At 43.8% G+C, this 27,130-nt stretch overlaps 1 protein-coding gene and 1 long non-coding RNA gene across 18 annotated transcripts in view; one reads left to right on the top strand and one right to left on the bottom strand.

Annotated features, from left to right (window-relative positions):
- Positions 1-1,058: 1,058 nt before the first annotated feature.
- Positions 1,059-13,849, top strand: LOC105369746 (uncharacterized). 2 transcript variants are annotated; one of them, XR_007063288.1, is made up of 2 exons: positions 1,059-1,153; positions 13,230-13,849. It is a non-coding gene; the product is annotated as an uncharacterized LOC105369746 (long non-coding RNA). The 2 variants fall into 2 exon arrangements; XR_944896.3 differs by lacking the exon at positions 1,059-1,153 and adding an exon at positions 1,806-1,969.
- Positions 13,850-14,859: 1,010 nt separating this feature from the next.
- PCED1B (PC-esterase domain containing 1B) overlaps positions 14,860-27,130 on the bottom strand; it is a 157,040-nt gene continuing 144,769 nt past the window's right edge. For all 16 annotated transcript variants that reach the window (XM_047429873.1, XM_047429870.1, XM_017020207.2 and 13 more), the window contains one exon: positions 14,860-16,513. In XM_047429873.1, the coding sequence (XP_047285829.1) occupies positions 15,158-16,456 (1,299 nt within the window). In that variant the 5' untranslated portion in view covers positions 16,457-16,513 and the 3' untranslated portion in view covers positions 14,860-15,157. The remainder of the gene's footprint in view (positions 16,514-27,130) is intronic.

The following is a 27,130-nucleotide window of genomic DNA, read 5'->3' as shown; positions in this document are numbered from 1 at the left end:
GTTTTCCTCAATTATTCTCCCAAATATATTTTCTAAGCTTTTAGAATTCTCTTCTTCCTTGGGAACACTGATTGTTCTTAGGTTTGGTCGTTTAACATAATCTCAGACCTCTTGGAGGCTTTGTTCATATTTTCTTATTCTTTTTTCTTTGTCTTTGTTGGATTGGTTTAATTTGAAGAACTTGTCATTGGGCACGGCCCAGCACTTTGGGAGGCTGAGGTGGGTGGATCACCTGAAGTCAGGAGTTTGAGGCCGCATGTCCAACATGGAGAAACCCTGTCTCTACTAAAAATATAAAATTAGCTGGGCATGGTGTAATCCCAGCTACTTGGGAGGCTGAGGCAGGAGAATCGCTTGAACCCGGGAGGTGGAGGTTGCGGTGAGCGGAGATCGCACCATTGCACTCCAGCCTGGGCAGCAAGAGTGAAACTCCATCTCAAAAAAAAAAAAAAAAAAAAAAAGGCCTTGTCTTTGAGCTCTGAATTTCTTTCTTCTACTTATTCAATTCTATTGCTGAGACTTTCCAGAGCATTTCACATTTCTAAAAGTGTGTCCAAAGTTTCCTGAATTTTGTATTGTTTTTTCTTTAAGCTATCTATTTCCTTGAATATTTCTCCCTTCACTTCTTGTATCATTTTTTGGATTTCCTTGCATTGCGCTTCACTTTTCTCTGGTCTCTCCCTGATTAGCTTAATAACTAACCTCCTGAATTCTTTTTCAGGTAAATTAGGGATTTCTTCTTGGTTTGGATCCATTGTTGGTGAACTAGTGTGATTTTTGGGGGGTGTTGAAGGGCCTTGTTTTGTCATATTACAAGGATTGGTTTTCTGGCTCCTTCTCATTTGGGTAGGCTCTGTCAAAGGGAAGGTCTAGGGCTGAAGGCTGTCGTTCAGATTCTTTTGTCCCACAGGGTCTTCCCTTGATGTAGTACTCTCCCCCTTTTCCTATGGATGTGGCTTCCTGTGAGCTGAACTGCAGTGATTGTTGTCTCTCTTCTGGGTCTAGCCACCCAGCAAGTCTACCAGGCTCTAGGCTGCTACTGGGGGTTGTCTGCACAGAGTCCTGTGATGTGAACTGTCTACGGGTCTCTCAGCCGTGGATACCAGCGCTTGTTCTGGTGGAGGTGGCAGAAGGTGCAATAGACTTTCTGAAGGTCTGTAGCTTTGGTGGTTTAATGCTCTATTTTTGTGCCGGTTGGCCTCCTGCCAGGAGGTGGCATTTTCCAGAAAACATCAGCTGTAGTAATGTGGAGAGGGACCAGTAGTGGGTGGGACCCTAGAACTCCCAAGATTATATGCCGTTTATCTTCCACTACCAGGGTGGATAGGGAAGGACCATCAGGTGGGGGCAGGGCTAGGCATACGCTCAGACTGTTCAGGAGGCTCAGACTCTCCTTGGGCAAGTCTTGCTGTGGCTGCTGTGGGAGATGGGAGTGAGATTCCCAGGTCACTGGAGTTGTGTACCTAGGAGGATTAGGGCTGCCTCTGCTGAGTCATGCAGGTTATCAGGGAAGTGGAGGAAAGCTGGCAGTCAGAGCCCTCACCCAGCTCTCATGCAAACGGAAGGGCTGGTCTCACTCCCACCATGTCCCACCAACAGCCCTGAGTCTGTTTCCAGGAAGAGGGAGAGATAGGCTTGAAAACTTGCCCAAGGCTATCTGCCTCACAGCTGTGAAAGAAAAGGGCTTTAGTTCTTCCCCTACGAGTGAAGTCTGCATACTGGATTCACGCCCTCCCCTGAGTTCTGGCCAGGAGGTTTCTCACCCTGTTCAAATTGGTACAAATTTCGGCTAGAGCATTCCTTCTCCCTGTGGAGTTTTACCCCCTGCATCTCTGGCCACCCTCTCAGTGGATCCCTGTGGTGCCAGGCAGGAATGGGCTGCAGGGGCACCCAGCGAGCTTCCAGGGCCTTTCTGCCGCTTCCTCTACCCCTGTTTTTCGCTTGGCTCTCTAACTTGACTCAGCTTCAGGTAAAGTCAGAAACTTCTCCCACAAACAGATCTTCGGCTTCTCCAGTGGGGGTGTGTGTTCGGGAGAGGAGGGTCTCCCTTTCCCACTTCTGCAGTTGTGGCACTGCAGTTGGGGCACTCACAGTATTTGGGGGTCTCCTGGGTCCTGCAGGAGCAGTCTGCTTCCTTCAGAGAGTCTGTGGATCCTCTCAGGATTGCTGGTTTGTTCTTGCAGTCGATCTGGAGCTAAAATTCACAAGGCAAGCCTCTGCATGCCGCTCTGTCTGGAGCTGTAATCTAATCCTGCCTCCCATCCGATATGATCCCAGGAGTGGCATACCTGACTTATGTATCTGCCATACGAGGCCATTTTTTAAAATTGAAATGTTTTGGCTCTAAGATAAGCAGGTATTTTTGTAGCACCATAATTTCTGGTTCTGTGAAAATTAAAAAAAAAGTTTTTGTAAATATGTTGCCCATTAAAGCAATTATTTCAGCTATTTTTTCACTTCCGTCTTTCTAAAATAAACATTAGTCACAAGAATATACATCCTTCCAAAAACCGTTTTAATCCTAGTACATTTTTAGTTCCTTTCCTCTCTGAATCAGGAAATGATAGATCGTGGATGCATTTTTAATTGTTTGTATTTATTGACTATTTACTAAGCGCCAAACATTATGCCAAGTGCCTTACAGATATTATGGCATTTAAAACTAACAGTCCTATGAGGTGTGTGTTTTTATTTTCATTTTAAAGTTTAGGTATCTGAGCCATAAAGAGTTTAAGATTCTCGCAAAAGTTCCCATCACCAATAAAGGGCATACACTCAATTTTCTCCAAGATGTGTGCACCCCCAAGCCCATGTTCTTAACCTCGATACCATCCATACCCTCTCTGTGGGCTACATACTAGACAGCAGAGGCAGTTATATCACTCCTATAGGCAGACATCACCTTCTAACCTTAGATATTCAAATTTTAAGGAAACTCCAGAGCAGGATTTTTCAATTTTTTTTTAACAACAATCCATAATAATAATGACATTTTACTTCTAGTCAGAATACACACATAAACACACACACACACAAACACACATACATGCCATGGAATAGTATCATTATTACTTGATTTGTACTCTGATTTTTTTATTCTGTTCCAAATAAATTCTGGTCAGGATGCACTAAATTTATTTTTACAATTTACTAATGAAGCATTACTTTAATTTTGAAAAATACTGTACTAGTGCATAGCCAGTCTGTGTTACAGTTACCTGTTTGAAGAGAGCTCTACCATCTTAGGCAAGTTATTTAATTTCTGAGTCCTCAGTTTTCTCATCTGCCAAATGAAAAGGCTGAACCAGGTTAGTGATTCTTTTTTTTTTTTTTTTTCTGAGGCAAAGTCTCCCTCTATTGCCCAGCCTGGAGTGCAGTGGCGAAATCTCGGCTCACTGCAACCTCCGCCTCCTGGGTTCAAGTGATTCTCCTGCCTCAGCCTCCCGAGTAGCTGGGACTATAGGCACACACCACCACGCCCGGCTAGTTTTTGTATTTTTAGTAGAGACAGGGTTTCACAATATTGGCCAGGCTGGTCTCGACCTCCTGACCTCGTGATCCACCCGCCTCGGCCTCCCAAAGTGCTGGGATTACAGGGATGAGCCACTGCACCTGGCATTAGTGATTCTTAATCCTGGTTGCACATTAGAAATACCTGGAGAACTTTTAGATACACTTGTCTCCAGGTTTTTGCCCTCAGAATTTCTGATTCTGATTCTGATTTAATGGTTTTAGGGTGGGGCCTATGCCCTGGTATTGTTTTTTTAACAAACATCTTAGTGATTCTGAGGGAAATGGTCTAAGAAATACTGCATCACATCATCTCAGCAACTGCTTTTATGGTTTCCACAGTCTGTAGTGCCTGGCACTGGGCCTGTGGTCAGTGCTCTGAAATGTGTGTTAAGTGACTGCACCAACCAGCCTGGCCACTCTGGCTACCCTCTGCCAACACCCTGGGCTTCATGCCATTTCCATCCGTTCTTTGATCCCTTTTCTAACTTAGCTCAAATAAAGAATCACAATCTCCCCTCTCTTCTGCTCAATCCATAATTATCTCCTTAAATATTAAAATCACATTCAAACTGGATTCCTAATACTCTGAGAGGCAATTACATGGTAGTAGCTAAAACAATAGCATGAACTTGGAACAATCTTTAATTTTATTTGACAAATATTTTATTTTTTTATTTTTATTTATTTATTTATTTGAGATGGAGTTTCACTCTTGTTGCCCATGCTGGAGTGCAGTGGTGTGATCTCAGCTCACCACAACCTCTGCCTCCTGGGTTCAAGCAATTCTCCCACCTCAGCCTCCTGAGTAGCTGGGATTACAGGCATGTGCCACCACGCCTGGCTAATTTTGTATTTTTAGTAGAGAGGGGGTTTCTCCATGTTGGTCAGGCTGGTCTCGAACTCCCAACCTCAGGTGATTCACCCACCTCGGCCTCCCAAAGTGCTGGGATTACAGGCATGAACCACTGCGCCAGGCCCTATTTTTTGAGAGAGTCTCTATTGCCCACGTTGGAATGCAGTGATGTGATCATAGCTCACTGTGGCCTTGATCTCTTGGGCTCAAGGGATCCTGATTAAAAAAAAGTCTTCTGTAGAGATGGGATCTTACTGTGTTGCCCAGGTTGGTCATGTACTCCTGGCCTCAAGCAATCCTCCCACCTGGGCCTCCCAAAGTGCTGGGATTAACAGCATCAGCCATTGCACCTGATGGACAAATATTTTTAAAGTAGTAACTATGTGCCAGTCACAATTCTAAGGGCTTTATAAATACAATTTTAGTTGTCCATAATAATCTTATAAGAGATGCTATCATCCCCCTATTTTATGGATTAGGACCCTAAATCCCACTGCATTTTTGCTCAATGTTTTGCACTGATTTTATTCAATGTTTTGAAGGGCGTTATGATTATTATTATTTATAAAACAAAGGATACCGCATGAAGTGAACAGAGAATTTCAGTTAATATTTTATATGATGCTTGAAATTAATTTAATCCTTGGAGTAGCTGCAGCAGGCAGACCTCCTGTATATATGGGTTTCATCTCCACCATTACAGGTATTTCAGTGGAACGGTTTGAGAACCTGGTATTAAGGAATTACTCAGTAAAGCACTTTTAATTTAATACCCTCTGCTAAGGCCCGGCTTGGTGGCTCACGCCTGTAATCACAGCACTTTGGGAGGCCGAGGCGGGCGGATCACCTGAGGTCAGGAGTTCAAGACCAGCCTGGGCAACATGGCAAAACCCTGTCTCTACTAAAAATACAAAAATTAGCCAGGTGTGGTGGCATGTGCCTGTAGTCCCAGCTACTTGGGAGGCTGAGGCAGGAGAATGGCTTGAACCCGGGAGGTGGAGGTTGCAGTGAGCTGAGATCATACCATTGCCCTCCAGCCTGGGTGACAGAGTGAGACTCCCATCTCAAAAAGAAAAATACACTCTGACAACAATTTTCTTGAATACTCTTATAATATGGTTTTCTTATTCAATCTTTTTCTCTAGCCATGAACGTTTTATGAAGTTCCTCATACAAAATCAACACTTTTTATTGAGTTAACAAATATGTACTTGCCAATAAACAAATAAGAGACCAATATATCATTTGCCAACTCACAGATACATAAATAACTTTACCTTGATGTGTAAACATTTATTTATTGGTTGATTAAAAAAGATACAATCCCAAAGTGAAGATGACTCAGCATACAAACGAGTGTTTTTACCTTTTGCCTTTACTAACTGGCACAATGGGCTAGGTTTATAAAGCATAGGGAGGCTAAAGATCACCTCTATCTGTCTTAGTTCTTAAGAGGGATCTTCAGCTGCATCTAGGAATCAAATTGACACAAGGCAGATTAACAGAAGAAAAACATACAAGTTTTCTTCTTCTTTTTCTTCTTATTTTGAGACAGAGTCTTAATGTGTCACCCAGGCTGGAGTGCAATGGCACGATCTTGGCTCACCGCAACCTCTGCCTCCCGGGTTCAAGCCATTCATTCTTGTCTCAGCCTCCTGAGTAGCTGGGACTACAGGCATGTGCCACCAGCCCAGCTAATTCTTTGTATTTTTTTAGTAGAGACGGGGTTTCACCATGTTGGCCAGGCTGGTCTCAAACTCCTTACCTCAGGTGATCCACCCACCTCGGCCTCCCAAAATGCCCAAGTACAGGCATGAGCCACTGCGCCTGGCCCAGTTTTATTATTTTTACATGTGTACTTGGGGACCCTCATGAGAGTGAAGATCTGAAGAAATGGCCAAAGCAGAAAGCTTTTATATGTTTTAGAAAAAGAATCATAAATTGTGAAGAGATGGGCCAGGGGCAGTGAATTCAAGGGGAATCATTAGGAGACCTACGGGAGTGTGTAAAGCTAATGGAAGATAAAGGTTTCTTCAGTAGGTTTATTTGTACAGATCCATTGCAGCAACAATTCCTGGTCTTTGGAGATAAGGGTTATTTTCTTGCCACAGTATGAGGAAGGCATCCTCCTCAAAGGAATTTTTATGGCTTGCCACACGAAGGAAAGGACAGGTCAGATAACTCTTTCTGCAATTACAGTTTCTCAAGTGCTTGTAGCTTGAAATAATCAAAGTATCAAATTGGCATATGTCTGGAGTGGATAGTCCTTAACTCCTTCAAATGCCATACCTAATTCCCAATCTTTGGCTTCTTTCCATCCTTGAAGCCAAGACCAATTATCCTCTATCTGCAGATTCACCTCCACCGGATCTATGTCGTTGCTGTCTGTCCAGCTATGAGCTTATTTCCCCATGCTGATAGTCGGGCTCTTGGGTTATTTCAAAGACCGGCTTCTAAATAAAACCTCATTTCAGATGAGTGTCATGTCTTTTTCCCATGCCTGGGTCATAGTCAGTAGAGCCCCAACTAACTGGGAGGGGCAGTCTGAGGGTAGAGTCTTGTTATACCCACTGTCATACTTCATGGTAGCCAGGCTTTCTGTAAGAAGTGTGTCTTGGGGTAAACAAATAGCCCCAGTTGAAGACAAAAAGAATCTCTCTCTCTCTTTTTTTCTTTCAAGATAGAGTCTCACTCTGCTTCCCAGGCTGCAGTGCAATGGCGTGATCTCCGCTCACTGCAACCTCTGCCTCCTGGGTTCAAGGGATTCTTGTGCCTCAGCCCCCTGAGTAGCTGGGATTATAGGCGCCCATAATCATGCCCGGCTAATATTTGTATGTTTAGTAGAGATAGGGTTTCGCCATGTCAGCCAGACTGGACTTGAACTCCTGGCCTCAGGTTATCTGACTGCCTTGGCCTCCCAAAATGCTGGGATTACAGGCGTGAGCCACCGCGCCAGGCCAAAAATCTCTTTACAAGAGAATGCCAGCTAAGAAATGTATAAGGAATGGTAAAATGAGAAAAATGACCATTTTCCCACCCCTAATGAAGTCATTGTTTCAAACAAGAATGATCAATGGATGCTAAAACAGTTACGTGAAAGATTAGGAAGACAGGCATGTTAGCTCGTGCCTACAATTCCAGTTACTCGGGAGGTTGAGACGGGAGGATCACTTGAGCCCAGGTATTTAAGACTAGCCTGGGCAACATGGCAAGACCCTGTCTCTACTTTTTTTTTTTTTTTTTAAAGATTGATGAAGAATTGAAATATGTATATGGTACCAGTGTATCACCCCACAAGATACTTGCTGGGCACACCCCACAAGTTGTAATTGGACAAACAAAACTTTTAAGTAGAGGCTTCTGGCTGTTTTCCTTTTTACTTGGTGATCAATCTTAGCATCTAATTCTGGGAAAACCGTTCATGTGTCTCTGGTTGTGGTGCAATACGAAGTACACTGTCTTGCCTATGAAATAACCTAGCAAAAATGTTTCACTTGAATCTAATCAAGACTTAAGATCTAACATTCACTTTATAAGAAATACAGGGGATAGGCCAGATGCCGTGGCTCACTCCTGTAATCCCAGCACTTTGGGAGGCTGAGGCAGATGGATCACAAGGTCAGGAGTTCAAGATTAGCCTGGCCAAGATGGCGAAACCCCTTCTCTACTAAAAATACAAAAATTAGCCAGGTATGGTGGCAGGCACCTATAATCCCAGCTACTTGGGAGGCTGAGGCAGAGAATTGCTTGAACCCAGGGGGCAGAGGTTGCAGGGAGCCAAGATCGCACCACTGCATTCCAACCTGGGCAACAGAGTGAGACTCCATTTCAAAAAAAAAGAAATACAGAGGATAAAGTAAAGTTTAAATAGCACCATGAAGAAATCATTAGACAAACCCAGAAAGTGGAATATTCTACAGGATAAGTCTTTTCAACAAGTTAATGTCTTAGAAAAAAGAAAAAAGACACTGTGTGTTGGGTTCTATTTAGCTTAAAAGAGATTTGAGAGACATAAAAGTCAATGCAATGAGTGATTCTTTAGTGGATCCCAGTTTGAATAGATGCAGAAAACATTTCTGGGACTGAGTATCAGATAATAACAGCAACTTATGTCAATTTTGTTAAATATGATACTAATCCTGCAGTTATGTGGGAAAATGTCCTCATTTCCAACATATGAAATATTTATAGATGAAATATGAACTAATTTACTTTAAAATACTTCAGAAAAAATATGAACTGGCAAAACATTAACAATGGTTAAATCTAGGTTATAGCTATATGATTCTATGTTTTGTTTCTTTGGAAGAATAAAAAAAGTGGTGGTTTTCAAAGTGTGGTCCTCCTCATCTGAGAACTTACTGGAAATGCAACTTCTAGGGCTCTACTCTAGACTGAGTCAGAAACTTGGGAAGACGGGTGGTTGGGGGACAGCAACAGTGTCCTAACAAGTCCACCGGGAGATTCTGATGCACAGTAAATAGTTTGAGAGCCACTGCCTTAGGGCTGGTGCAGGTAGGGAAGAGTGGATGGTAGGGAAAGGATCAAGCTGGTGGTGAGACATCACTATCAGGAGGAAATACAAGACTACTTGTGAAAAATTAGCCCATGCTATGTAGACATGGGAGTAGGAAGTAAAGACAAGCCCAGCTCAAGAAGCCAGGAAACAGTCTAGTCAAAGAGGTATCATGATTACAGGGCCAAAGAGGGTACCTGCCCAGAGCCTAGACGAGACTTGTCAGGTCACATGGTCTGGTTATGTCTTTTCTTCCAAGGATGTCCAGCTCATCTACAGGAGCTCCTGCTGGTGCTCTCATTCTTCTAAGATAGGCCCTTTCCTAGGGACTGGAGTCTGCTCCTAACAACATTGTTAAGTGTTGATAGAGTGAGCTGCTGTTGAATGACTCTCTGCTCAGCTTCAGAATACTGTTTATTCTCTACTTCCCAATTACCACGTTCCACTGGGATATGTCTTGGGATATTCTGTGACCCTGTGCCAAGCATTGAATACCTGGGCTGGAACACTTCTGCTGCACATCATACTCCACAGGCTGGACTGGTTGTGGCCCAGAGCTTATTATTAAGGTTGGCTGTCTCAGTCTCCCATTTTAGAGGAAGAAGAGGGCAATCATTTTTGGTCCAGTTTATCTTACTTCAGCTAACCAGCCGTTCCCACACTTGTCCCAAGCTTACCTAACAAATATTAGCTCTTGTTTGGGCACTGCTTATTACAATGCTACATCACAAAAGGGCTTCGTATATAAAATATCACTCACAAACCTTCTTTTCTCTTCACTTACCCTTACCATTTTATTTGGCATTCTCTAGAATATTATTTCCCAAAATACGTTTTTAACAAGATGCTAAGGGTGGGCACGGTGGCTCATACCCATAATCTCAGCACTTTGGGAGGCCAAGAAAGGAAGATCACTTAAGGCCAGGAGTTCAAGACCAGCTTGGGTAACATAATGAGACCCCATTTCTAGAAAAATTAAAACAAGCCGGGCGCAGTGGCTCACGCCTGTAATCCCAGCACTTTGGGAGGCTGAGGTGGGTGGATCACGAGGTCAGTAGATTGAGACAAGCCTGACCAACATGGTGAAACGCTGTCTCAACTAAAAATACAAAAATTAGCCAGGCCTGGTGGCGGGTGCCTGTAATCCCAGCTACTCCGGAGGCTGAGGAAGGAGAATCGCTTGAACCCGGGAGGCAAAGATAGCAGAGAGTCGAGATCGCACCACTGCACTCCAGCCTGGGTGACAGAGCAAGACTCTGTCTCAAAAAAAAGAAAAAGAAAAATTAAAATAAACAAAAAAATAGCTGGGAGTGGTGGCATGTGCCTATAGTCCCAGTTACTTGGGAGGCTAAGGCAGAAGGATCACTTGAGCTAGGAGTTGGTGGCTGCAGTTAGCTATGATCATGCCACTGCACCTAGCCTGGCGACAAAGTGAGATCTTATCTCTAAAAATAATAAATAAATAAATAAAAGACGCTACTTATGAAAATGGTTCTGGGTTAAACACATCTTGGGAATACTAAGTTAAACACACTTAGTCAAGTTTATTTCATGCAGAACTTCTCAGAGCCTCTAATCTATTAAAGGTCATTGTGAATTTCCGCATGAAGCAATTTTACAAACATCCTTTTACAAACATCCTTGCCTATAGAATGCATATGGAGTAAAACCTATGGGTCAAAGGGACATGTTTTAGGAAACGTTTCTTTAAAGTTAAATGGGTAAAGTCTTGTGACAGAAACTACAGATGCTCCTTAACTTACAAAGGGGTTAAGTCTTCCGATAAAAACTACAGATGCTCCTCAACTTACAAAGAGGTTATGACCCATCATAAGCTGAAAATATTGTAAATCAAAAATGCACTTAATTCCCCTAAACTTCTGAACATCATAGCTTAGTCTACCCTACCTTAAATGTGCTCAGAACACTTGTATTAGCCTCCAATTGGGCAAAATCATCTGGCAACACAGGACGCTGTAGAATATCTATCAGTTGTTGCCTTCGTGGTGGCATGGCTGACCAGGAGCTGCTGCGGCTGTACTGCTCAGCATTGAGAGAGATTATTGGACTGTTTTGTTTTGTTTTGTTTTGTTTTTTCAGAGAGGGTCTCACTCTGTTGCCCAGGCTGGAGTGCAGTGGTATGATCATAGCTCACTGCAGTCTTGAACTCCTGGGCTCAAGCCTCAGCTCCTACCTCAGCCTCCTGAGTATCTGGGACTACAGGCACTTGCCACCATGCCTGGCTAATTTAAAAAAATTTTTTATATAGAGATGGGGGTGTCACTGTGTTGACTAAGCTGGTCTCAAACCTGGGCTGAAGCCTGCCAAGGTGCTGGGATTACAGACGTGAGCCACCACACTCGCCCTTTAGACCACTTTTTAATGAATGCATATTGCCTTCCCACCATCGTAAAGTTGAAGAATCGTACATTGAAACTTTGTAAGTCAGAGACTGTCTGTGTATCTATAAAATTAAGCATGCCATGATAGAGCTCTTTCTTGAGTTATGAGAACGAGAATATTATTCCTGGAGTTACCTCTATGGTAACAAACATACAATAGTTTAAAACAACAGTAATTTCTTTCTCTCGCATGCATCTTTTTTTTTTTTTTTTTTTGAGACGGAGTCTCGCTCTGTCGCCCGGGCTGGAGTGGCGCGATCTCTGCTCACTGCAAGCTCCGCCTCCCGGGTTCACGCCGTTCTCCCGCCTCAGCCTCCCGAGTAGCTGGGACTACAGGCGCCCGCCACCACGCCCAGCTAATTTTTTGTATTTTTAGTAGAGACGGGGTTTCACCGTGTTAGCCAGGATGGTCTCGATCTCCTGACCTCGTGATCTGCCCGCCTTGGCCTCCCAAAGTGCTGGGATCACAGGCATGAGCCACCGCGCCTGGCTTCACATGCATCTTAACGATTTAAGTTTTTGAAACAACTTACTTTTGCAGAAGTCGTGAACATAAAATTGTCGAAGAGACGGGCGGCCGCTTTGTACAACTCCAGATTTAACCGTAAATGTTGCCTCCTGGCAGCAAGAGCAAGAGCTCTGTGGCTGACCGTGAAGGGCTGTTGTTGGTCCTACTCTGGGAGGGAAGGTTTGGTTTGTTTTCAAATGCCGGACCTTGCTTTCTTTGCGCATATGGAAAAATATTGCTACAGCTTTAAAATCTGGCCTTTGGTATATTAGTATAAAATCTTGTGAGAAACATGCTGCTTCGATGATGTCAATGTAATCATTAATTTTACTTTTCCAGGAAATTTAAGACAAGAATCAAGTATGTAAATCTGTGAGTGCTGTCGTTTCTTGAGGATGGAAAATAGGCCAAATGAATCCTGCATTCTAAACCTCAACAGTGGAGCAATAATTTCTCTCACAAATGCTGAATATTTTTGGTTCTTTTTACCAGACAATAGCTTGATTGCACTGCTAGGTCTCCTCATTTAAGGAGCAAGGTGAAAATAGCAAATATGGGCAAAGAAGAAAGCCCTAGGCTGGAAGATAAAGGCCAGGATATGTATGAAATTAAAGGCAAGCATTCACTGAATGTGCTGTCTGAGTCTTACTCCCAGTGGGTGGAGGGGTGGGGTGAGAGGAAGAGGGCTAGCCACCCAGCATAATTTAGGTAAAGTTATGGGAATGTTCTGCAGACATTTTCTAAGTAATCAAATGCTGCTCAATTTTTATTTTTTCACAATAGCTGTTTGGGCTGATGTTGCTCAATCTTAATACAAACTGCATTCTTAGTTGAGTACTGAATGTGAGTGAATTATGTGCTTGAACATTTAACTAAAGCATAAATACTTGAAAACCTCTTTATCAGGCACTGTGCTAGTAGGCCTTGGGAAGTCCAGAGTAAACAAGACTCATGGAACTTTCATTCTAGTAGGGAGGCTAACAAGCAACTACTGAAGCCATTGCAGAGTGAGGTAAGCCATACAAAGGAAATAAAGAGTGCTATGACAGATCATCACAGAAATGGTCCTGAAAGGCCTCTTAGGAGGGAACTTGCAAGGTGAGAATGGAAGGATGAGTTAGGAATTAAAAGACCTAGGAAGTATGGGATATAGAACAATGCGGTAAAGGAAATAGCAAGTGCAAAGGCCCAAGTTATAAAAGAGCTTGTTGTGCTGTATCAACAGAAAGAAGTCCTGTGTGGTTGAAAGAATAAAGAGCAATAAAGAGAGTTCCAGAAGATGACATTGCCAGGGCAGGTAGAAGCCTGATCATGTTAGACAGTTAGACATAGTAAAGGTTTTATTTTGGAGTGATGGATTTCAGACTTCTGACTTCCAGAATTAGGAGATAAATGTGTGTTATTTTAAGTCACCAAGTTTGTGGTGTTTTTTTACAGCAGCCACAGGAAATTAATATAACTGCGAAGGAAAAGATTTCCCCTGCTCGAGTCTCCCTGCACTCCTACCCATCTGAGAGAAACAGAACTGTTGAGTAGCTGATGCAATTTCATCCATAATATTGTGGATTCACCATTGATTCAGCATCTGATCCTCAGCACTGTATATCTAAGAACTCATTCTCCTTGGTTCATCAGGCATGATCAGATTAAGGATTCATACACACTGACCTAACTCACAGGAGAGAGTTATAAATCAGAACACCAATTTATTGCCTTGTTCATGGAAATAGAAACACTACATGTGTCAGCTTACTCAGATCAGCAGCTAAACACTGTTCAGTGTTGATTGGGAAATATAAAGCCAGAATGAAGGCAGCTGGTTCATCTTGATAGCAAATGTTACCAAATCTCATAGTCTGGTGCCCTAATCTCCATGGGATTAGAACATGTACATCGACCAGAGAGGTTCTCTTTCTCCTGACTATGCTGGGACATTCTGGCAAATTCTGACTCATCACTCCCTTTCTAGAATCCTTAAAGACCATCATCACGCTATTTCAAGAATATTCCTTCAGATGTGTTACAAAGATTAAATGTTGATTTATGGTATCTCTAAAGATTTGGATTGTAGTCTCATCAGAAATATTTATTTATAAGCCATCTCTTCATTCACTCGTTGATTCATCCAGAAATGCTATTCAGTATTTATTAAGTGCCAGGCGTTGTGCTAAGATTTGAGACACAGAGATAAGATAAAGGTCCCATTCTCCAAGACTCTTGTTTTTTTAGTGGATTAAAAGCTGCTAATGTATTCCTTCTGTAGATATACATAATTTCACCAATTTCTTGTGACTTCATGAACCTTATTTTTGCAAGACAACATGTCCTAATTCTTGTCAAATTTAGGGATGGTGGTATTGGGGAGCTACAAACCAGTCAAATCAATTCAATGAAAAATCCTATTATTTGAACAATTTTAATCACATCTGATTTTGACTATTTTATCTAAGTGTTAACATTTCACTAGTTGAGTGTTACAATGAGCCTAGCATTTAAACAGTCTTAGTTATGTTAACATTCTTAAAAACAGAGAAGTGGCAGCCAGGCACGGTGGCTCATGCCTGTAATCCCAGCACTTTGGGAGGCCGAGGCGGGCGGACGCCTGAGGTCAGGAGTTCAAGACCAGCCTGACCAACACGGAGAAACCTCGTCTCTACTAAAAATACAAAATTAGCCAGGCGTGGTGGTGCATGCCTGTAATCCCAGCTACTCGGGAGGCTGAGGCAGGGGAATCGCTTGAACCTGTGAGGAGGAGGTTGCAGTGATCCGAGATCATGCCATTGCACTCCAGCCAGAGCAACAAGAGCAAAACTCCGCCTCAAAAAAAAAAAACAAACAAAAAAAACCCATCAGATCTTGTGAGACTCACTCATTATCATGAGAACAGCATAGGGGAAACTACCCCCATGATTCAATTACCTGCACATGGTCCCTCCCTTGACACATGGGGATTATTACAATTCAAGATGAGATTTGGGTGGGGACACAGAGACAAACCATATTAAGAACTAATCATTTAATGGAGAGGCATCCATTAAATATAGACACATGCAAAACCCACAACTACTTCTGTGCAACTTGTTTATTTCCATTTTATTTTTACACAAAGGCAAAGAGAATAGGAGTGAGGAGGCAGGAATAACGCTGGGTCACTCCCAGGAAGTGGGGAAGAGGCTGCAGCCAAGAAGAATGAGTCAGGCTGCTCTTCCTTGGCTTTCTTGGTAACAGCAATGAACAAAAGGAAGACGAGGCATGGACTCCAGGCTTAAGTTAACAAGGTCAGTCTGTTCAGGCCAAGCAATGGAAAGGAAGTGTCAGATCTGTCCAATCCATGTTCATAAAGAGGAAATAAGGCCTAGGTCCGTCTATTGAGGCCTTGGCTCAGGATTGGCTGGGGCCCTTCTCTTTGAAGGTCGAGGCCGCTGTCCCCAGGGCGTATAGGGGCCACGGGGACGATACCTGCCAAAACCCCTATGTACCACTGGGGCAGGCCGCTGATAACGGGGTGTGGGGAAGAAGGGCATAGGCAGCTGAGGACCAACCATAAAATTGTCTTCGACGAAGAAACCTGCATGGGCTGATGAGGGGACATCTGAATGGCAATAGAATTGATCCGACTGGAAAGTATGGTCTGAGGAAAAACAGGCATCTGGGGGACCCTGTGGGAACCGGGGCATTCCCTGGTGATGGAGAATGGGAGGAGGAGGCTGTGGGGACAGGAGCGGGAGCAGCGGCAAGCGCTGGGGTGGGAACCCAAGCAGGGGGCGGTATGTGGGGGAAGGTAAGGGTGGGGACAGAGGTAAGGCCGGGTGATTTCTGTTGGCCTGGGGCGGCCCTTCGACTCTCGGGCCAGGTTTTTTCTTCTTGATCCACTCGCCCACGGGGTGGCGGTGGGGCAGCTCCACACCCCAGGCGTCGGCCACGTGGGCCAGCAGCAGCTGGGAGAGGCAGCGGTGCACACGTCCATTCCAGTGCACCCCGTCCCAGTGCAGGTTCTCCCTCGCGTGGCGGAAGTGGAAATGCAAGTCCAGTACATCGAAGTTATGTTTACGTGCCTCGGTGGCGCTGTGGAAGTTGGCTTTGACCACTTCGTTTTTCAGGAAGGTGGCCTTCTGCCGCCGGAGCTTGGGCGGAAGAAAACCCCCGGTGACTTCCTCGCCCACAGGCATGGCCGTGTTCCACACCAGGAGGCAAGACTCGGGCAGCACCTGGCCCAGGCACTGGAACAGGTTCTCCAGGTTCTCCAGGTAGCTTCTCCAGGAGTTCGGACCATACCTGGAGATGTCCCAGAGGCAGGAATTCATGATGACCAGGTCGGGGGCGTGCTCGCCCGACTGCAGCTCTTTCAAGATGGTCTGGAGGTAATCGGAGTACACGCGGGTGAGGAAGTAAAAACGTACCAGATGGTGGTCGGAGCGGAACTCGCGGACCTCACGGTAGTTAAGGCCGTTGTGCATGTGGCCCCGCTGGCCTCCGTCCACCAGCTCATCTTGTTCGAAGTTCAGCTCCCCCCTTGCTCTAAGCTGCCCGGGAGTGAGCAGGCGGTCCTTCTGCAGCAGAAGCACCAGGTCCTTGTATACTGCCCTATGCACAGAGTCCCCCAGGATGACCACGAACTTATTGTGAAGCAGCTGCCGCACTTCGGAGGCCCGCAGAAGGATCATGACGCCCAGGGCGCACAGCCTAGCTCCTTCCTTTGCACAGGATGGCTCTGCGGATGGCTAGGACAGAAGGAGAGAAGGGCTGGGAGGGACTCACCTCTGGGCGGAGCGCCCAGTGCAGGTTGGGGGTAGGGAGACCATGGGGAAGGGGATGGCGCTGTGGCCTCTGCCCTGAGGGAGTGGACCTGGAGTGCCCGCATAACAGGCTCCACCAAGCCCGGACCTGGGAGATTGGCGAGAGGGCAGGAAGGGAGCCAAAAGCCTTGTCTAGTGGCAGTTCAGGCCTGGGGCTTGACCTATGAATGACCTGAGGCTGCTGTTGGAGGCTCAGGTTCCACCTGGTGGGGAGGAGCCAAGTATGATCCACCCTCCCCAGGGATGAGAGTGCTAGCAGAATGCCTAGCCAAGAGCCTGGAGGCAGCCCAGAAGCCTAAGTGGATTTGGTTAGCGCTATGCCACTGTTAGATAATGAGGACCCCAAGTAAGCAAGGACATGGAGAATGTTTGTGATATAATGTTAAGTGGAATAAGTTACATCCCATACTGAATGCCCCATCACTTAAACTATATAAAAGAGATATGCATAGATAACATTGAAAGGAAATATGTAAAAACATATCTTCATAGAATAGGATTATGGTTGACTTCTCTCCCCTTTTATTTTTGTAAATATTCTTTACAGTCTTATATCGCTTGTTATAACTTTAAAAGAATTAAATGAAATGCAACAGGTAACACAAAGAAAGAGTACCTGTGCTAGCTCAAGAGCATAAAAACAGGCCGGGTGCGGTGGGATTACGCCTGTAATCCCAGCACTTTGGGAGGCCGAGGAGGGTGGATCACCCGAGGTCGGGAGTCCGAGACCAGCCTGACCAACACGGAGAAACCCCGTCTCTACTAAAAATTCAAAATTAGCCGGGCGTGGTGGCGCATGCCTGTAATCCCAGCTACTTGGGAGGCTGAGGCAGGAGAATTGCTTGGACCCAGGAGGCAAAGGTTGCCAGTGAGCTGAGATCGCGCCATTGCACTTTAGCCTGGGCAAGAGAGAAACTCCGTCTCAGAAAACAAACAAAAACAAAAAACAAAACAAAAAAAACCCCTAAAAACAGATTTCTTTTACAAGGAAGTAGCTGTTTCTCATCAATAGGACTGAAAAAAATCAAGATAAAACTGGAAATAATTTGAATACATTTCAGCTGTAATATTCTTTGCTTTACATTTGAAGAGAACCGGAATATGCCACCCCAAAATGTGCACTTTAACATGAGGATTATTTTGAGCAGAAAGCAACTGAAAATCGACAGATGCAGGAAGAGTTATCTGCCCTCCTCTTATCTGCCCTAGAATCAGGGCATATATTTCCTTCAGGAAGGTAAACACCCTTCCCCCAACCAGGGAAAGAGGAGCAACTCTTATCAATCAGACAGGTTATCATCCTTTTCACCGAAGACAGGGAATGGACACCAAGATGATTTTTCATAAATAGACCTTACTACAATAGCCCTTATCTTCCATGAGCTCCCCCCATTTATTTCCCAGTCACTTCCCCACAATTCATCATCCCTTAAAGCCCAAAGCCCCTTGAGTTTCACTGTTTTCCGGTGCACTCCCTGCCTGCAAATATTAATTTAAAAATTGTGGCGGCTCACGCCTGTAATCCCAGCACTTTGGGAGGCCAAGGCGGGTGGATCACGAGGTCAGATCGAGACCTTTCTGGCTACCACGGTGAAACCCCGTCTCTACTAAAAATACAAAAAATTAGCCGGGCGTGGTGGCGGACACCTGAACAGACTGAGGCAGGAGAATGGCGTGAGCCCAGGAGGCGGAGCTTGCAGTGAGCCAAGATCGTGCCAAAAATTGTGGTGGGCGCGGCAGCTCACGCCTGCAAACCCAGCACTTTGGAAGGCCAAGGTGGAAGGGATCACTTGAGCTCAGGAGTTCGAGACCAGCCTGGGCAACATGGCAAAACCCCATCTTTATACAAAAATTAACTGGGCATGGTGGCGCACGACTGAGGCGGGAGGATGGCTTGGGCTCAGGATGTTGAGGCTGCAGTAAGCAGTGTTCCAGCTACTTCACTCCCGCCTGGGCCACAAAGTGAGACCCCATCTCTAAATAAATTAAATAAATAAATAAATAAATAAATAAATAAATAAATAAAATTTCTAGGTCTGTATCTTGGCAACACACACACAACATAAATAAATAAAAGTATGTGCTTTTTCTCCTGTTAATCTGTCTTTTGTTAGTTTAATCTATACGCCCCCAAGTACTGATGCTAAAAGAGTAGAGAAAAAGTTTTTTCTCTCCAACACATTGGATGCAATGTTAAAAACTGTGAAACTCATCTTCAAAACTTCAGATTATTTCAAGTTGCCATTTACAACTCATATCCACAGATGACTAAATAGTAGAAACACTAAAATACTGCTAACAGATTGCAAATGGGAGGAACATGGCATCCACTTCATCTACTTACACAAAAGCCTTGAAAATCCGGTGCGGCTTGAAATTTGTAAGATTTTACGCATTAGTAAACATTTTAATAGATGTAGGAACATTTTAATAGGTATGGGTGGATAGCTATTATTAAATTACACATTCAAGTTTTAAAAGCTATATATCCTATTTGTAGTTTTAAATGGGTATAAATACAAAAATGAAAATATTAAAACAGATAGAATATTAAGTTTCATAAGAGAACAGTTGAAAATATTGACATCTTCCCCACAAAGAATTTTCATTAAAATATTTTTGCTATCAGAATAAAAGTTTTGGCTGGGTGCAGTGGCTTATGTTTGTAATCCCAGCACTTTGGAAGACTGAGGCAGGAGGACTGCTTGAGACCAGGAGTTTGAAACAAAGAAAAACAAAACAAAACTGAAGCAAACTCCAAATCCCTTTGGGACTCAAGCATGTTCATTTGTTTAGATTCATTTATTTCTCCAACTCACACTTAATAAGTGCCTACTATATGCTCCACATAGGGAGTATAAAAATAAGTAAAATATGGTCTTGCGCTCTAAAAGCAGATCAGAAATACTAGTTGATAATTGTACTATCATGTAGAAAGTGGTAAGGGCCATAAACTGTGAAAGTCTAGGGGTCTTTGGGAATAGTATTCCTTCCCACTCTAGACTCAAGTCTCCAAAGTGCAAAATGTGAAGACGGAAACCCTTTCCTATTGTGTTTTCAGGGCTCCCATGCTGCCCCAGCTCGATGTGCCTTCCCTGGGCCAGCACTCTGGCCGTAATCTGTGCCCTAATACACCTTCCCCTGTTAATACAGTTCTGTCCCGGAAGCTGGCAGATCTAATAATTTAGTGCTGTCTCTGCTACAGTGTTACTTCTGGAATGCTCTAATGCATTCTTTCTCTGGGAGTGAAGTGCCCTAGACTTGGAAAGATATAAGTTCAAGTCCAAAATATGCCTCTCTGATACAGATATTTTTGAGCGAAGATGCTTGTGAAGCAGCGGTGGCAGAAAGGGCCTCCAGATCTGCCCTTTCTTATCAAGCCATAAAAATTCCTGTGAAAAAGCGGCCTTCTCTGCACCAACACGAGAAGATAACCCTTGTTTCCAGTGACTTAAGAAGTGATGCTGCAATGGAGCTGTATAAATAAACTTACTGAAAAAACCCTTATCCTCCACTAGCTTTAGCACCCTCTCCAATTATCTCCTAGCGACTCCCCTGGAATTTACTACCCCCAGCTTATACCCCTTTGTCCTGTCATTTCTTCACAAAATGTGTAGTTCTTTGTCTAAAAGGTATAAAAGCTTTCTGCTTTGGCCATTTCTTGGGGTCTTCACTCTCTTATGAGGGTCCCCATGTACATGTAAAAAAATAATAAAACATACGCGCTTCTCTTCTGTTAATCTGTCTTGCATTAATTTGGTTCCAAGCCCACCCGAAGATCCCACTTAAGAACTAAGATGGGCAGAGGATATCCATCGGCCCCTCTACAGAGTATTAGCAAAGAGCATTGCGTTTGGAATCATACTACCTGGGTTTGAATCCTAACTCTTCTGTTTGCTAGCATTTTGAACTTGGGCAAGTTATTTAGTCTTTCTATGACTTAATTTTCCAGATCTGTAAAATGCACCTATTAGTACACTTCATATATCTGATGTGAGGATTAAACGTAAACTGTTTGTAATAATGCCTAACAAGTAGGAAGTGCTGCTAAATTAGTTATTATTATTAAAAGTTGAGCATCCCTAATTCAAAATTCCAAAATTCTTCCAAACCCAAAACTTTTTGAGAGCCAACATGATGCTCCAAGTTACACTGAACACATTACTTTTTCACTATATTAATGGTATGTTGGCCAGGCGAGGAGGCTCACGCCTGTAATCACAGCACTTTGAGAGGCCGAGGCAGGTGGATCACTTGAGATCAGGAGTTCAAGACCAGCCTGGCCAAAATGGTGAAATCCTGTCTCTACGAAAAATACAAAAATTAGCCAGGCATGGTGGCACATGCCTGTAATCCCAGCTACTCGGAGGCTGAGGCGGGAGATCCCCTGAACCTGGGAGGCGGAGGTTGCAGTGAGCTGAGATCGCACCACTGCACTCCAGCCTGGGCAACAGAGTGAGGCTGTGTGTCAAAAAAAAGGGAAAAGTGTGTCATATTTTCTACTATGAAGTACTTACGTGTGAATAAGTGTAAGAAAATGATTACTTTGGCCAGGCGTGGTGGCTTATGCCTGTGATCCCAGCACTTTGGGAGGCCAAGGCAGGAGGATCACGAGGTCACGAGATGGAGACCATCCTGGCAAACATTGTGAAACCCCGTCTCTACTAAAAGTACAAAAAATTAGCAGGGCGTGGTGGCTGGGGCCTGTAGTCCCAGCTACTCGGGAGGCTGAGGCAGGAGAAAGGTGTGAACCTGGGAGGCGGAACTTGTAGTGAGCCGAGATCCTGCCACTGCACTCCAGCCTGGGGACAGAGTGAGACTCCGTCTCAAAAAAAAAAAAAAAAAGAAAATGATTACTTGCTGAGTGCAGTGGCTCACGCCTGTAATCCCAGCACTTTAGGAGGCTGAGGCGGGCAGATCACGAGGTCAGGAGATTGAGACCATCCTGGCTAACACGGTGAAACCCCGTCTCTACTAAAAGTACAAAAAAAAATATTAGCCGGGTGTGGTGGCGGGTGCCTGTAGTCCCAGCTACTCGGGAGGCTGAGGCAGGAGAATGGCAGGAACCCGGGAGGCAGAGCTTGCAATGAGCCAAGATCGCGCCACTGCACTCCAGCCTGGGTGACAGAGAGAGACTCCATCTCAAAAAAAAAAAGAAAAGAAATGATTACTTGTTGGTTGCCTCTAAACATATAAGCTGAGTCAGAAATGATGGTGATGTCATACAACCACAGTCCACATGAGTGGTTAAGATTGTGACACCTTTGCTTTCTGATGGTTCAATGCACACAAACTTTGTTTCATGCACAAAATTTAAAGTATTGTATAAAATTACCTTCAGGCTATGTGTATATGCTGTATATGAAACATAAATGAATTTTGTGTTTCCACTTGGGCCCAATCCCAGCCTACGTATGGGCATCCCCACGTACATGCAAATATTCTGAAATCACCCAAAAATCTGAAATCCGAAACACTTTTGAGTGTTTTTTATTTTCTTATCTTTTTTTTTTTTTTGAGAAGCAGTTTTGCTCTTGGTGCCCAGGCTGAAGTACAGTGGTGCAATCTCAGTTCACTGCAAACTCTGCCTCTTGGGTTCAAGCGATTCTCCTGTCTTGGCCTCCCGAGTAGCTAGGACTACAGACGTGCACCACCACGCCCAGCTAAGTTTTTATATTTTTAGTAGAGATGGGGTTTCACCATGTTGGCCAGCTGGTCTCGAACTCCTGACCTCAGGTGATCCACCCTCCTCAGCCTCCCACAGTGCTGGGATGACAGGTGTAAGCCACCGTGCCCGGCCTGAAACACTTTTTATTCCAAGCATTTTGGATAAAGGATGTTCAACCCATACTTAAGAAGTTTCAAAATACCAGGTTAATCATCAATAAAGAAGAGATTACAATATTTGTTCTGCTTGTTTGTCAGGGTTCTATGAAGATCAAATTAGATGATGCAAGTGAAATATTTTGGCTAAAACAAAATTAATGTTTATTGAACAGCTACTAGATCCCAGGTGCTTTACCAACATTACCTCTTCATGAGGTAACTTTTTTTTTTTGAGACGGAGTTTCACTCTGGTTGCCCAGGCTGGAGTGCAGTGGTGCAATCTCAGCTCACTGCAACCTCCGCCTCCCAGGTTCAAGCGATTCTCCTGCCTCAGCCTCCTGAGTAGCTGGGATTACAGGTGTGCATCACCATGCCCGGCTAATTTTTGTAGTTTTTTTAGTAGAGACGGGGTTTCACCATTTTGGCCAGGCTGGTCTTGAACTCCTGACCTCAGATGATCTGCCCGCCTTGGCCTCCCAAAATGCTGGGATTACAAGTGTGAGCCACTGCACCTGGCCCTTTATGAGGTAACTCTTATTCCCATTTTATAAGGAAAGATATTGATGTGATAGAGCTAAGATTTAGTCCAAAGTCTATCTCTAATAGAAGAAGGATCTTCTCTTATCTTTTGCTTATTCATAGTCAGGCAACCCTCTCCTCTGCCCAGGAGAGATGGTCATGAAGGGAGGGGATGGGTGGTGAATGAGTATAATCCCATATCCTAATCTCAAGCAAGAGACATAAAAACACATAAAGACCTTGAATTCAGAAGAACCCAGGCAGGGCACGGTGGATCATGCCTGTAATCTCTACACTTTGGGAGGCCAAGAAGGGCAGATCACCTGAGGTCAGGACCAGCCTGGGCAACTTGGTGAAACCCTGTCTCTACAAGAAATACTAAAAATTAGCTGGGTGTAGTGGCACACGCCTGTAATCCCAGCTACTTAGGAGGCTGAGGCACGAGAATTGCTTGAGTCCAGAAAGGAGGAGGTTGCAGCGAGCTGAGATCGCATCACTGAACTCCAGCCTGGGCAACAGAGTGTGACTTTGTCTCAAAAAAAAAAAAAGGAAAAGAAAAAACAAAGAAGAAGAGCCAAAACACAGTTCTGCAGACTGACAACCTCACAGTGTCTGAGGACTTCTGGAGGTCCTATATCCTAACCAGTTCACTTAACCCACCCAAATGTTGCTCCAAGAGCTCAGGGCCAATATCTGACAAAAATGTTTACCTAAGAATGTCTTCTTTTTTTTTTGAGTCAGAGTCTTGCTCTGTCACCCAGGCTGGAGTGCAGTGGCGAGATCTCAGCTCACTGAAACTTTTGCCTCCAGGGTTCAAGCAATTGTCGTGCCTTGGTCTCCAGATACCTGCAATTACAGGCACTTGCCACCATGCCCAGCTAATTTTTGTATTTTTAGTAGAGACGGGGTTTCACCATGTTGGCCAGGCTGGTCTCGAACTCCTGGTCTCAAGTGATCCACTCACCTCGCCCTCCCAAAGTGCTGGGATTACAGGCGTGAACCACTGTGCCTGGCCTTATTATTCTTCTCTAATGGAACATGCAGCTATGACTGTGAGAAGGAAAGAGAGGGGAAAATGACTGGGAAGAAGCATTCCAGTTAGAACCCGAAATGGGGCCGGGCACGGTGGCTCTCGCCTGTAAGCCCAGCACTTTGGAAGGCCGAGGTGGGTGGATCACCTGGGGTCAGGAGTTCAAGACCAATCTGGCCAACATGCTGAAAGCCCCCCTCTCTACAAGACTACAAAAATTATGTGGGCATCATGGCAGGTGCCTGTAATCCCAGCCACTCATGAGGCTGAGGCGGGAGAATCGCTTGAACCCGGGAGGTGGAGATTGCAGTGAGCCGAGATCTTGCCATCTTGCTGCTGCACTCCAGACTGGGTGACAGAGCGAGACTCTGCCTCAAAAACAAAAACAAAAACAAAACAAAACAAACAAACAAACAAACAGAAAAACCTGAAATGGAAATGAAGTTCTTGATAAAGAGGAGCACTGTAACTGTAACAGGATTAATGAAATCTGACACCCTCAAGACTATCATTTTGGGAAAGAATCCTAAGCTAAGAGACCAAGCATTAAAAATAAAACTTAACAAAACCAAAATGACTCTTTTAGGGGAGTGAATAGAAAAGAATAATTTGGAGACATAAACCTTCTCTAATTTAAAAAAAATGTCGATAGCATCCATTTTCAGAGCTCTTTTTATTTATAAAAAATAAAACAAAAAAAGGATTCGAAAATGGCCAGATCAGCGATCATTTTAGCCTAGGCATCTTTCTTTGCTGCAGATTTGATAAGTACACTTATTCATTTTGGTAGCTATTTTATCGATTCACTCATTCACTTAATAAAGATCATGGAGAGCCAAATAGTGCACTGGGTGCAAGGACTAGGTATGAAAAGGCAATTTTGGCCAGGTGCAGTGGCTCACGCCTGTAATCTCAGCACCTTAGGAGGCCAAGGCGGGCGGATAACTTGAGATCAGGAGTTCAAGACCAGCCTGGCCAACATGTTGAAACCCCGTGTCTACCAAAAATATAAAAAATTAGCCGGGTGTGGTGGCATGCGCCTGTAATCCGAGCTACTCAGGAGGCTGAGGCAGGAGAATTGCCTGAACCCAGGAGGCGGAGGTTGCAGTGAGCCGAGATCCCACCAATGCACTCCAGGCTGGGCGACAGAGCGAGACTCACTCCATCTCAAAAAGAGAGGCAATCTCTTCTCTCAAGAGGAGGGGTAAGAAAATGGGCACTTAAAGAGCTGGCTGCTAAAACGGATGTATGTAAATTAAGTACCTGAGACTGTTGGAAGAATCAAGCCAGAGGAGGGAGGTTTATGAACAATCATTGCAACCTGATTCCAACTTCGAATTAAAACAGAATTTTTTTAAAGTTTCATGGTAATTTTAAAAATCATAGTTATAAGTAGTTCCATGTTTTTTTCTGTTTTCAAAGTAAATTTTGGGCTTAGGCTAAAGCTGTCACAGATATATGTATTAATAATGTCTACTGCCACAATAAATTACTTTCCAGCATCTTGTTTATATTTCCCTGTTTGGGGATAATTAATTTTTTAATAGCTTCATAAGCTATGAATTACAACTCATTGACTATTGCTTTACAATGATCACAACCCAAACACATAACATTTATCTTTCATTAATGTTTTGTAATAATTATGTTGATTTTTCTTTTCTTTTTGATCTTTAGTTACAAGAAGAGGTACACTGAAATAAGCCAGTTGCTTTAGAGATACTGTAGAGAAGTTTTAAACCACAGAGATAGTCACTAAAAATTAGGATGTTTTGATTCATTGTGGGAAGTACTTGTAACTAATTTATAAGTTTCTTGCATATGACTATCTTAATACAATATTGTACTGGGAATATAAATGGTTCATTTCCTTATAACCGCATTTTGGGGGATCTAACCAATAGTTTGAACTTTCCAAGATTCTCTTAAATTTTAGTGGAATGGATGGTACAGATAAAGAATTATTTTTAATGAGCTCACCTGTATAATTTATCTATGTCAGCATTTGCTTAGTTTTCTAAGTGAATTTAAACTTGCCAAAAATTATATTACATGCCATATACAGTTTTGAAAGAAAAAAGAAAAGCAAACAATTCGAACTTTTCTTTGGGAAAACTTAGTGACTTGTGGACTGGGGATTCTCTAGAGACTCATATTTTGATTTGAGGCAAGTCAGTTAACATCCAGTGACCTATACAACACCAAAGTGGAAGAAGCAATGCAGGCCTATTTTTAAAAGTGGCTTTAGGATCAAATAAAAAAATACAGAAAAGTACTGAGAGATGCTATGCTGTGGTAAATAATGCAATAGAAAAATAATTGCCAGGCTGGGTGCAGTGGCTTAATTCTGTAATCCCAGCACTTTGGGAGGCCGAGACGGGTGGATCACTTGAGATCAGGAGTTCGAGACCAACGTGGCCAACATGGCAAAACCCCGTCTGTACCAAAAATACAAAAATCAGCTGGGCATGGTGGCACGTGCCTGTAATCCGAGCTACTTGGGAGGCTGAGGCAGGAGAATCATTTGAACCTGGGAGGTGGAGGTTGCAGTGAGCCAAGATTGTGTCACTGCACTCCAGCCTGGGCGACAGCGTGAGACTCTGTGTCAAAAAAAGAAAACGAAAAAGAAAAAGAATTGCCAAATAACCACTGGAAAGACTGTTAACTGATTCGAATCACCTACCTACATTGACCTCACTTCCTACGTAGGTCTCGGATCTGCAGTCCATTAATTAATTCAGTAAAAATTTAGAGAGCCCTGCGTCTATCTACGGCTATGACAGCTGTTACTGCACATTTGGCTCACATCCCTCAACAACAACCATGATTCCCCTGTGAATCCCCGCATCATGAAACCACGCCATATAGCCTGTATTTCTAAGTTGGTTATCCAGGTAGTCTTTAAACACATCTAAAATCATGCGAGATAAGCGAAAAACGGAAACTAGAATAAAGATCTTCAAACTGGGCTCCGTGTAATCACAGGTTTACTTTGTGGAGGAAGGAATCACTGTGGGTATATTCAGTTTGTATTTGTATCATCCCTACCAGGCCACAATCTGAAATTTGTAATTCTTTTTAAATAAACTATCAGCAGAAGAATCTCAAACACTTTGAGTCTGAAAATTACCAAGTTTAAAAATTCTTAAAGCAGTGTATTTTCCCAT

The sequence above is a fragment of the Homo sapiens genome, chromosome 12, assembly GCF_000001405.40.
Source record: "Homo sapiens chromosome 12, GRCh38.p14 Primary Assembly".
NCBI lineage: Eukaryota > Metazoa > Chordata > Mammalia > Primates > Hominidae > Homo > Homo sapiens.
This window is presented reverse-complemented; position numbering and strand designations above follow the sequence as displayed.